Source organism: Homo sapiens, chromosome 15 (assembly GCF_000001405.40).
Source record: "Homo sapiens chromosome 15, GRCh38.p14 Primary Assembly".
In the NCBI taxonomy this organism is placed as follows: Eukaryota; Metazoa; Chordata; class Mammalia; order Primates; family Hominidae; genus Homo; species Homo sapiens.
In genome coordinates, this window is record NC_000015.10 from 50,633,138 (window position 1) to 50,646,124 (window position 12,987).

At 40.3% G+C, this 12,987-nt stretch overlaps 1 protein-coding gene across 5 annotated transcripts in view; it reads right to left on the reverse strand.

Annotated features, from left to right (window-relative positions):
* Positions 1–12,987, reverse strand: part of TRPM7 (transient receptor potential cation channel subfamily M member 7) — a 129,640-nt gene that overhangs the window by 75,980 nt on the left and 40,673 nt on the right. For all 5 annotated transcript variants that reach the window (NR_149154.2, NR_149152.2, NR_149153.2 and 2 more), the window contains exons 5-8: positions 10,203–10,416; positions 6,287–6,411; positions 4,285–4,456; positions 1,245–1,419 (exon numbers count right to left, since the gene is read on the reverse strand). Coding sequence is in view for 2 of the 5 variants with exons in the window: in NM_001301212.2 (NP_001288141.1) it covers positions 1,245–1,419; positions 4,285–4,456; positions 6,287–6,411; positions 10,203–10,416 (686 nt within the window). In the remaining 3 variants the exon portion in view is untranslated. The remainder of the gene's footprint in view (positions 1–1,244; positions 1,420–4,284; positions 4,457–6,286; positions 6,412–10,202; positions 10,417–12,987) is intronic.

The following is a 12,987-nucleotide window of genomic DNA, read 5'->3' on the forward strand; positions in this document are numbered from 1 at the left end:
CATGAGACTCCCAACACAAATGTTAGAAGGAAAATAAATGAAACGGAGTGATTTTTCTCTTTGAATTACTTTGTGAATTTTATCAAAAAGTATGTGTGTGGCAATATCAGTACTTACATAAGATATTGTATAAAAATAATTTGAAGATCTTATGATGTATAAACTAGTATTTCACCACGATGTTCTTAAACATAGGAACTCACATTTTTCTTTTTTGAATACTTAATACATTTTCATGGCTCAAAAATAGTAGAAAACATAAAATGTTAAAACATTAAAATTAATAGTGAAAGTCTCCTTCCCGCTCTCTTTCATCTGCCCAGTTCTATCACAACTATTTTTAGGAATCATTTACTTATATATAACTTTCCAAGATGTCTTTCTGCATATACAAATAATTATCCCCTCTCCTTTTATTCTATATAAAAAGTGGCACAATATATATGCTTCTCTACACCTTCCTTTTTGCATGTACATATTTTGGTAATCTTCTCAAAACCATTCTTACTCAGCTATAAACCATTTCTTTGTATAAATACACCATAACTTATCTAGTCTTCTCATGTTCTACTTTGTTCCAATCTTTTATAAAGAACCCCGTAATGAGTAGCTTTAAACATATATTATTTCACAGATATACATCTGTAGGAACAATTCCCAGAAATGAAACTACTACGTTAAAAGATAAGTGCCTCTACGTTTGACACATCTTACAAAACTGTGTTCCATGAAGATGGTTTTATTTTAATTTGTTCCAATAACATATGAGTCAGGCTATTTCCTCAACCCTTAACAAAGTATTGTATTAAACTTAACATTTTCATGTTCATAAAACACAGGGAGGAATCCAACACTGTATTCTAAAAACCACAAGCCACTTTAATAAATTCATTAAAATGGGCCAGGCATGGTGGCTCATGCCTGTAATCCCAGCACTTTGGGAGGCTGAGGCAGGTGGATCACTTGAGGTCAGGAGTTCAAGACTAGCCTGCCCAACACAGTGAAACCCCATCTCTACTAAAAAGATACAAAAATTAGCCAGACGTGGTGGCTCATGCATGTAATCCCAGCTAATTGGGAGGCTGAGGCAGGAAAATCGCTTGAACCTGGGAGGTGGAGGTTGTAGTAAGCCAAGATTGCACCACTGCACGCTATCCAGGCTGGGAGACACAGCAAGACTCCGTATCAAAAATAAATAAATAAATAAATAAATAAAATTAATTAAAATGTTGTCATACACTTACCCTCCTTCTTCTGTTTGTTTATGAATATACGCTAGCAGATCTGCAGCTCTGCCTGTTCCTTCACACACAACTACTGGAACAGGGGGGCTTTCCTGAAGGTATTCAAGAACTGTGAGGATAACATTTGGCCCACCCTCAAATATAAGTGCCACCACAGGGACACCCTGGCCAATCCCTAAAAAGAGCAAAGTTAAATTAAAAAATTATTTCATCCCAAGCAAGTTTCTCTCCAAGAAAAAAAAATTAGGCAAAATTCAGTACTCTAATTTTAGATTTTACTGAAAAAAAATTAAAAAGTAAAAACATAATTTCTAAGACTATGTTGACTTGACTTTAAGCACTCCACCTGATACCAGTTCACGTAAGTAAATTAAATAATGAATACTTTGTCACTATCTTAAAAGCTGTTCTCTAAATGACAAAATTAGAAAATCCAATATATAATAGACAGCAAATAATTTATATATTCACTACTTAAAAGTAAAAATTTGTTTTCCATATTTTACTGAGCTCTTGACGTGAAATGTAAACAGTAATTTTTTAGTTTGCTTTACAATACATTAGTTGAACTTCTAACATTGATTTTTATTCATTTTTAAAATATATATTTCTGATTCCAAATGAGACATTAAAATAGAAATTAATGACAGTCTTGGCCGGGCGTGGTGGCTCATGCCTGTAATCCCAGCACTTTCGGAGACCAAGATGGACGGATCACAAGGTCAGGAGATCAAGACCATCCTGGCTAACACAGTGAAACCCTGTCTCTACTGAAAATACAAAAAATTAACCAGGTGTGGTGGCAAGCACCTGTAGTCCCAGCTACTCAGGAGGGCTGAGGCAGGAGAATCACCTGAACCCAGGAGGCAGAGGTTGCAGTGAGCCAAGATCATGCCACTGCACTCCAGCCTGGTGACAGAGCGAGACTCCCTCACATAAAAAAAAAAAAAAAAAAAAAAAAAAAGACTGTCTCAAATGCCACCTGAAAGGTTTGTAAAAAAGAAAAAAGAAATGGCTCACGCCTGTAATCCCAGCACTTTGAGAGGCCAAGTCGGGCAGATCACGAGGTCAGGAGATCGAGACCTTCCTGGCTAACATGGTGAAACCCCGTCTCTACTAAAAATACAAAAAAGTAGCCGGGCATGGTGGCATGCGCCTGCAGTCCCAGCTACTCGGGAGGCTGAGGCAGGAGAATTACTTGAACCCGGGAGGCGAAAGTTGCAGTGAGCTGAGATCGTGCCACTGCACTCCAGCCTGAGCAACAGAGCAAGACTCCATCTCCCAAAAAAAAAAAAAAAAAAAAAAAAAAAGAGGACGGCTGGGTATGGTGGCTCATGCCTGTAATTGCAGTACTTCAGGAGGCCGAGGCCGGCGATCACGAGGTCAGGAGATCAAAAGCAGCCTGGCCAACATAGTGAAACCTCCTATCTACCAAAAATACAAAAAATTAGCTGGGGCGTGGTGGCGAGTGCCTGTAATCCTAGCTACTCGGGAGGCTGAGGGATGAGAATCGCTTGAACCCAGGAGGCAGAGGTTGCAGCGAGGTGAGATCGGGCCACTGCACAACAGCCAGGGCGACAGTGCGAGACTCCATCTCAAAAAAAGAAAAAAAAAATTAAAAATTAAAGAAGAAATTGATGACAGAATTACATAACTGGAACTGATCAATAAAATTCCAAGACCTCTAGAAGAGCAACAACAGATAAAATTAGTGAAGAATATGAATTTTTGCTTTTACAATAACTTGCGGTGCACAGAGAAAATGGAAAAAAAAAAGGTATCTGTAGGACTATAAACAATTCTTAACTTTTTTTTTTTTTTTGCAATGGAGTCTTGCTCTGTCAACCAGGCTGAAATGCAGTGACGCGATCTTGGCTCACCTCACTGCAGCCTCCGCCTCCTGGGCTCAAACAATTCTCCTGTCTCAGCCTCCCAAGAAGCTGGGACTACAAGCACACGCCACCACGCTCGGCTAATTTTTGTATTTTTAGGAGAGACAGGGTTTCACCATACTGGTCAGTCTGGTCTAGAATTCCTGACCTCAGGTGATCCACCCACCTCGGCCTCCCAAAGTGCTGCGATTATAGGCATGAGCCAGCACGCCCAGCCCATTCTTAACTTTTAGCAAAAGTTCTGACTCCACCATAATCTGTAAACACTGTTCTGTAGTTTTTTTATTTCTATTTCACTTTACCACAGAGCTCAACTTCCTGGGGTCCTTAGGTTACAAATTTTCCTTTATTTGAAATAAAAATTTAGATGTTGAACCAGAAAATTCAGACATGGTTGGAAAGAAAAATCAGTCCCAGGAATACAATTTTTAAGACACATTTAGCCAAACAGTGATACTCATTTCATAAATTTTAAGCTGATTTATTTCTTTCAGTGATTTTTTTCCCTTTTAGTTTTCAATCTTGAATTTCACAGCCATGTATTAGAATAAATCACACATTAAGAATATTTATGGGTCAGGCGCAGTGGCTCACGCCTGTAATCCCAGCTCTTTGGGAGGCCGAGACGGGCAGATCATGAAGTCAGGAAATTGAGATCATCCTGGCTAACATGGTGAAACCCTGTCTCTACTAAAAATACAAATTAGCTGGGCATGGTAGCGGGCACCTGTAGTCCTAGCTACTCAGGAGGCTGAGGCAGAAGAATGGTGTGAACCCAGGAGGCAGGGCTTGCAGTGAGCCGAGATCATGCCACTGCACTCCAGCCTGGGTGACAGAGCGAGACTCCGCCTCAAAGAAAAAAAAAAAAAAAGAATATTTATGAATTCCTTGGGCTGAAATGGAATTGCAATAACAACAGAGCTTCCAATGAACCTTTTTTGGTTTTAGCCTTGATAACTGAGTACCCAATTTTCACTTCTTTTCCTTGGTCTTATCATTTTGTCTAAGATCAACCACTGTTGGTTGTTTCATATGTTATCTTGCTATGTAAGAAAGAGCACTTCAAAGAACATTCTACTTTCTTTGAATTTGGCTATTAGTACAGCCCAGGACAATTTCAACAATAACAAATTTGTGAATTCACTTACTAGCATGAATTCTTTGCTGATTAATAGTTTTTTCAAGTTCTCTTCTCAGTCTGACTTCCGCCCCATACTTTCCAACAGTGCCATCATCCACCAATATGAAATGGGAATGCAGATTATTCAAAACATTCAATTTGCTCAGGGGGTTCAATAAGGTTTGATAAGGAGCAACCACCTAAACAATAGCAAACAAAAGAGTTAGTGAGCAGGATTAAATACAGTATGATGTAAAATAAATTTTGAAATAATCCGTAAAGACAAGTAAGAAGTAAAATTCTATTTTACATACAGAAATAAATACCAAATGACAAAGAATGTTTCAAAAAGCGTAAGCTTTTAAGCAGCTGAGGATTAATCATTAATGGGTTGAAACACATGATTATATCTTGACCCATACTGCAGAATTATATATTTCATCATCACATGCAAAGAGAGAAGCAATAAATAACTAAATAGTGCAAATAAACTATTATCAGATTATTAAGTGACTAAACTACAATATATAAAAGATATTGTGGCCAGGCACAGTGGCTCATGCATGTGATCCCGTCACTTTGGGAGGCCGAGGCGAGTGGATTACCTGAGGTCAGGAGTTCAAGACCAGCCTGGCCAACATGGTGAAACCCCATCTCTACTAAAACTACAAAAATTAGATGGGAGGCCGGGCGCGGTGGCTCACGCCTGTAATCCCAGCACTTTGGGAGGCCGAGGCGGGCGGATCATGAGGTCAGGAGATCGAGACCATCCTGGCTAACACGGTGAAACCCCGTCTCTACTAAAAATACAAAAAATTAGCCGGGCGTGGTAGCGGGCGCCTGTAGTCCCAGCTACTCGGGAGGCTGAGGCAGGAGAATGGCGTGAACCCGGGAGGCGGAGCTTGCAGTGAGCCGAGATCGCGCCACTGCACTCCAGCCTGGGCGACAGAGCGAGACTCCGTCTCAAAAAAAAAAAAAAAAAAAAAAAAAAAAAAAAAAAAAAAAATTAGATGGGTGTAGTGGTGGGTGCCTGTAATCCTAGCTATTCAGGAGGCTGAGGCAGGAGAATCACTTGAACCTGGGAGGAGGAGGTTGCAGTGAGACCAGATCGTGCTACTGCACTCCAGCCTGGGCGACAAGAGTGAAACTCCATTTCAAAAAAAAAAGACACTGTAAAAAACAATAAAATGTAATATTGCTATTTTTCCAGCCATGAGTAGACTCAAAAACTGACATTAGAAATTTAATAACACTTGAAAGTGATCATTATAATTCAGTAATTGTATGTATGTATGTATGTATGTATGTATGAGATGGAGTTTTGCTTTGTCACCTAGGCTGGAATGCAGTGGCTCAATTTCAGCTCACTGCAACCTCTGCCTTCCAGTTTCAAGCAATTCTCCCGCCTCAGCCTCCCAAGTAGCTAGGAGGCACAGGCCACTACACCCAGTTAATTTTTGTATTTTTAGTAGAGACGGGGTTTCACCATGTTGGCCAGGCTGGTCGTGAACTCCTGATCTCCAGTGATCAGCCCGCCTCAGCCTCCAAAGTGCTGGGATTACAGGTGTGAGCCACTGCGCCCAGCCAGTAATTCTTTTTAACAGTGTTGATAAATATCTATAACCAATTCACATGTCTTTAACCTATTCAAACAAAACACTAGCATTTAACTCCTATTCCCTAGTCTTAGTGAGAATAAAATTAATTCTCATGTCATGTAGTCATTAAAAATTTAATTACAAAGACTAGCTTATATGGAAAATGTGAAATAATTTTACACATAAAAGACTGAAAGCAAAATGTGCCAACACTGTAACAGCATTTATATTTATGAACTTAATTATTTATAGTTATGAATTATTTATATTTATGCATTTCCAAAAATTCAGAAGTAAACCTCAGGAAAATACCTTTTAAACTTAATTTGAAAAGTATAATATAATCATAAATATTTTAAACTGGCACTATTCTTACTATAATTTTGTTTACATATAATTTCAAACATAAGAAATTTTAAAAATAATTCTTACATCTCTCCCAACAAGATCATTTCTGTTTTCAATCACTCCCCATGGAGCTATTCCGATAGTGCAAATCTTTCGAGATGATCTGGAAGCATGTTCTTTGAGGGCATCTCCAACATGTTTTGCCACACCTGTTCATAAAAAAAGTTTATTCATTTTGTTTTTTTTATTTTCTTAAAGACAGGGTCACCCAGGAAAGAGAGCAGTGGCGCAATGACAGCTCACTGCAGCCTCAAACTCCTGGACTCAAGCGATCCTCCCTTGTGAGCCTCCCCAGTAGGTGGGACTACAGGTGCGTGCTAAGACAGCCGGCTAATTTTTTTTTTTTTTTTTTCAGTAGAGACAGGTGGGTCTTGAACTCTTGGGCTCATGCCTCAGCCTCCCAAAGTTCTGGGATTACAGTCATTACTGTGTTCAGAACAATCCTGTGCTAAATCTGTAACACTATAATATGTGATATATTTCTCCACACCTTCAAGATATAAGGCAACAAGGTCATAACAAACTTAAAACAAGGTCATAGCCAAACCTACAGAAGAATACACAAGGACCAAAAAGGAACAAAAACCACTAAACCCCACAATATCAAATCACTACAAATGCCAGAAAACACATATAACACTAAATTTTACCATGTTATTTGGTCTAGTCCGTTTTTGCATTTCTCCTCTAAGTAACTGTAGTTTTTTATTATTGCTCTACACATCATTTAGAAAAAATTAATCGGTGGCACAGGACCATACGCAAAACACACACACACACAATAAACAATGACAAAAGTCTATTTCAGTCAAAAATGAGAGAGAAAAGTATAAAAGGCAGTTCCAAAGAGCATATAACTCCTCATTATCACTTCTTTTTTTTGAGGGAGGGAGTCAGGGTCTCACTCTATTGCCCAGGCTGGAGTGCAGTGGTGTGATCATGGCTTAGCTCACTGCAGCCTTGACCTCCCGGGCTCAAGTGATCCTCCCACCTCAGCCTCCCAAGTAGCTAGGAGGGTAGGCACATACCACCATGCCGGGGTAATTTTTTTTTCTTTTTTTTTTTTTTTTTAGAAAGTGTCTTACCATGTTGCCCAGGCTAGTTTTGAACTCCTGGGCTCAAGTGATCCTCCCACCTCAGCCTCCCAAAGTGCTGGGATTATAGGCATGAACCACCATGCCTGGCCCATTATTACTTCTTATGGGCTGAATTGTGTCCCCTAACTCCCAATACCATAAAATATGACTGCAGTTGGAGACAGGGCCTTTATATATGTGATAATACCTTAAAACATTACTGTACTTGGAGGCAGGGCCTTTAAATATGTGACGATTAATTTAAAATAAGGCCTCTGGAGTGGCCCTGAATCTAACTGGTGCTCTTATAAAGAAATCTGAATACAAAAGGAAACACCAAGGATACCTATACACAGGAGGCCATGAGAGGGAGGACACAGTGTGAAGATGACCATGTGCAAGCCAAAGAGAGAGGCCCCAAGATAAACCAAATCTGCTGACACTTACTCTTAGACTTTTAATCTCGGAAACCATGAGAAAATAAATTTCTGTTTTTAAGCCACCCAGTCTGTGATATTTGGTTACAGCAGCCCCGGCAAACTAATGCATCACTCAGTTTGATCTCCATAATGCATCACATCTCATCCCTCACCCAAATTATGAAAATAGCATCTTCGTAGGTCTTTCAACTGCTGCCTTGCCATTATACTCCATTTTGAAAACATCATCCGAGTGATCTTTGCAGCTGTTGACTCTCTACTTAAAACCTCCTCTTCTCATTCAGAGCAGAAGCCAAAATGCTTATAACGGTCCCCAAGGCCTCATGCGATGAACTGCCTACTGCCTCTACTAGTCACCATGCTTCTCTACCACCATACACCAGAACTTCTGACTTCATCACCTAGCACTCTCTGCTTATTCCACTCAAGCTATATTAGACTGTTCTTACTATTCTTCCAACACACGAGCCATCTCCTCCCCTTTACATGCTTTGCCTTATGTTTTTCTTGTACCTTGCTTCCTCATTTCCATTTCTCCTCAACTGTCACCTTATCAGCTCTCCTTGACCATGTAACAAAATAGCAGCCCTTCCATCATCCCTCACTATCCCTCTTCTTGACTTCATGTGTCTGCATAACACTTATCAGCATCTAACACGTTATACATTACTGAGTTATCTGTTTCTTATCTTTATCTCCCCCACTAGAAGTTCCATGAAGGTAGATATTTTTACTGTTTATGGAATAAATTCTTAGCAGCCTCAAAAACTTCTGACACAATGAGGTTCAAAAAATAGCTGCTGGCCAGGTGCAGTGGCTCACACCTGTAACCCCAGTACTTTGGGAGGCCTAGGCGGGCGGATCACCTGAGGTCAGAAGTTCAAGACCAGCTTGACCAACATAGTGAAACCCCATCTCTAGTAAAAATACAAAACTTAGCCACGTGTGGTGACGGGCACCTGTAATCCCAGCTACTTGGGAGGCTGACACATGAGAATCACTTGAACCCGGGAGGTGGAGGTTGCAGTGAGCTGAGATGGCACCACTGCACTCCAGCCTGGGTGACAGCAAGACTCTGTCTCAAAAAAAAAAAAAAAAAAGTTGCTGATAATGAATTAGATGTTTGCAAGCTGACTTAAATGTTTTATTTTAGACAATGAAAGTAATCTGCCCTCTTTATATTCAACCTGTATATGTGATAGGGAAGATATAGAATAAAAGACAGTAGTATGTTACAAATTAATTTTTGAAAGCTACTTCTTACTGCTGCTGAGGCAATGGATTGCCATTCTTGTATCAATTTACCACTAGAAGGAAAGTGATGGAAATAATGCTTTGCTCTACAGTAGGGTCAAAAACCTTTTTCTAAAAGGCTAAACAGTATAAGCTTTATAGGGTATACCATCTCTGTCACAACTATTCACCTCTGCTGTTACAGCACAAAAATAGCCATAGACAATATATAAACTGATATGGTTAAGCTTTGCATCCCCACTCAAATCTGATCTTGAATTGTAATCCCTATAATCCCCAGGTTTTACGGGAGAGACCAGGTGGAAGTAACTGAATCATGGGGGCGGTTTCCCCAATGCTGTTCTGGTGATAGTGACTGAGTTCTCCCAAGATCTGATGGCTTTATAAGGGGCTCTTCCCTCTTCGCGTGGCACTTCTCCTTCCTGCCACTTTGTGTAAGAAGGTGCCTTGCTTCCCCTTCACCTTCCACCATGATTATAAATTTCCTGAGGCTCCCTAGTCATGCTGAACTGTGGGTCAATTAAACCTCTTTCCTTTATAAATTACCAAGTCTCGGGCAGTTCTTTATAGCAGTATGAAAACAGACTAATACAGTAAATAAGTGAATGTTCCAGTAAATCTTTATTCAAGGTTTGGGCTGGATTTGGCACACAGGCTATAGTTTGCCAAATCCTGCTCTAAAGTGTTGCGTTTTTTTTTTAAAGACAAAATAATAACCAAACAGGTTCGATTATCATTTTTACCTACAAACTGTAGATTATTTATCAAGAGTTAAGTATATCTATATTCAGTGTTGATCTGTATTTCAAATATCTAATTGCTATTATAAAAAAATTTAAGGGCCGGGCGTGGTGGCTAATGCCTGTAATCCCAGCATTTTGGGAGGATAATTTTGCGGATCACGAGGTCAGCAGTTCGAGACCAGCCTGACCAATATGGTGAAACCTCGTCTCTACTAAAAATACAAAAATTAACCGGGCATGGTGGCGCAGGCCTGTAATCCCAGCTACTCTGGAGGCTGAGGCAGGAGAATTGCTTGAGCCCGGGAGGCAGAGGTTGCAGTGAGCCGAGATTGTGCCATTGCACTCCAGCCTGGCAACAGAGTGAGAGTCCGTCTCAAAAAAAAAAATTAAAACACACTAAATAAAATTGGTATAATCATCACATTACCTGTGTTTACTCCTCCAGTTAAAATCCAGGCTCCAGTTGTAACTGCAGCTTTAATAAGACCTTTTCCAAGCAACTGCTTGATTCGTGGGTGAAGCTCAAATTTCTGCATGCCCCCATGTACAGAGATAACAAGTTTGGGTAACTCCATTTGCCATTCTTTAAGCAGAAGTTGCAGAATGACTTCAGGTTTGGTGTCATATGATAGCCTCACATACTAGAAAAAGATTTTAAAAGGAGAAAATAATTGAACATGTTCACAGGTTTCATAATGTGACATTATATGACTTTGGAAAATTTTATATGAATCAGATTATGTAAAAAGAGATTTCATAGGCTATTTTCAATATATTTATACTCCAAGGAATAAGCAATAGTAAATGATTTTAAAGTTGAAAAAATCATTCTGTGAGATCTACAGAAATAGCGAAACTAACTTTTAAACATTTAGACACAAATGTTACTCTTTCTGTTTAAACTCAATTACCATTGACCCAATTTACCCAAGTACCTGCAGTATTTATTGCCTTCTTTAACTATGACTACACAGTGAGTTAGAAACATTAAGACTGGCTGAAGAGGATCGGAAAAGGAAAAAAAAGGAATTAGGGGGGAAAAATATGGAGGCTTCTAAGGCTCTTGCTATGAAGAGAGGCAAATACTGAATTATTTGTATGAAAGTTTGGCAATGATCTAGTCCATTTATAAATGAATTGTGACTATGGAGTAAAATTTAAAAAGATATATTTAATATAGATGATTATTTTCTTCACTGTAAATAACTGGATTTGATCAGACTGAGAAATAATCAGAAAATCGTAATCAACATTTCATGGTGTTCGGATGGATTCTCCAGTTTAATTTTTGAAAACATCTTTCTATAGAAAAATAGAAAAAAAAGCTATCGTGTGTGAAATAACTTCTTCTGGTTTGAAAGATTTTAAAAATTAACTTCCTGTTTAAGTGATATCATAAGACTTACTTGCTATACTCACATTAATTCATTCTCTTGGCCTAAAGCACATATATGAAGTAGCTCATAAGAAACTTCAAGTATTCAGACATTGAGACATTTAAAAATCATCTCTAAGAAACCTTATTTGCAAAATGATGTATTTCCCATTCCTTTACAAAGATCAAACACTACTGAAAATCTCAGTACTGACAAACAAATGAAGCCAAAAGGCCAGGCACAGTGGCTCACGCCTGTAATCCCAGCACTGTGGGAGGCCAAGGCAAGTGGATCACCTGAGGTCAAGCGTTCGAGGCCAGCCTGACCAACATGGTGAAACCCCGTCTCTACTAAATACAAAAAAATTAGCTAGGCGTGAGTGCTTGTAATCCCAGCTACTTGGGAGGCTGAGGCAAGAGAATTGCTTGAACCCAGGAGGCAGAGGTTCCAGGGAGCTGAGACTGTGCCATTGCACTCCAGGCTGGGCAACAAGAGCGAAACTGCGTCTCAAAAAAAAAAAAAAAAAAAAAAAAAGAAATGAAGCCCAAAAAACCCCAGAATTCCATAAAACTGAGTAGAAGACTGGAGTCCCTTAAGAATACTTTGGTTTTTGGTTTTGTTTTGTTTTTTTTAGACACGGTCAGGCTCTGTTGCCCAGGCTGGAGTGCAGTGGCGCCACCACGGCTCACTGCAGCCTCTGCCTCCCAGGCTCAAGCCATCCTCCCACCTCAGCCTCCCAAGCAGCTGGGACTACAGACACAGGGCACCCTGCGTAGCTAATTTTTTAAATATTTTTTGTAGACACAAGGTTTCACCATGTTGCCCAGGCTGGTCTTGAACTCTTGGGCTCAAGTGATCTGCCCACCTCAGCCTCCCAAAGTGCTGGGATTACAGACACACGGCACCCAGCATGGTTAATTTTTTTGTATTTTTGGTAGACACAAGGTTTCACCATGTTGCCCAGGCTGGTCTTGAACTCCCGGGCTCAAGTGATCTGCCTGCCTCGGCCTCCCAAAGTGCTGGGATTATAGGCATGAGCTACCACACCAGACCAAGAATGCTTTGTAAATAGGATTTGTTCTTTTTTTTTTGACAAAGTCCCGCTCTGTCGCCCAGGCTGGAATGCCTCCCGGGTTCAAGAGATTCTCCTGCCTCAGCCTCCTAAGCAGAGTAGCTGGGATTATAGGTGCGCACCACCAGGCCCAGCTACTTTTTGTATTTTTAGTAGAGACAGGGTTTTGCCATGTTGGTCAGGCTGGTCTTGAACTCCTGACCTCAGGTGATCCATCTGCCTTGGCTTCCCAAAGTTCTGGGATTACAGGCATAAGCCACCGTGCCCAGCCGGATTTGTTCTATAATAAGTCTTTCTGTATCAGTTTTGTTTAACTCATTATTATATTTGGGCACATAAAGTAGTATTAGAGAAGCAGTCTAAAGTTAATGTTTTTAATACTATATTAGAGATAAATGAGAAATTCCACTTCCTACAATGATGGGCTAGGTTGATTTGGACATACTCTGCCCCTGGGAACTAGAAAAACTAGAAAAAAGAACAATAACACCTGCTTGAATACATTAGCAGGTGGCCGGGCATGGTGGCTCACACCTGTAATCCCAGCACTTTGGGAGGCGGAGGCGGAGGCAGGTGGATCACTTGAGGTCAAGAGTTCCAGACCAGCCTGGCCAACATGGTGAAACCCTGTCTGTAATCCCAGCTACTCGGGAGGCTGAAGCAGGAGAATCGCTTGAACCCAGGAGGCAGAGGTTGCAGTGAGCTGAGATCGCGCCACTGCACTCCAGCCTGGGCAACAGAGCGAGTCTCAAAAAAAAAAAAAA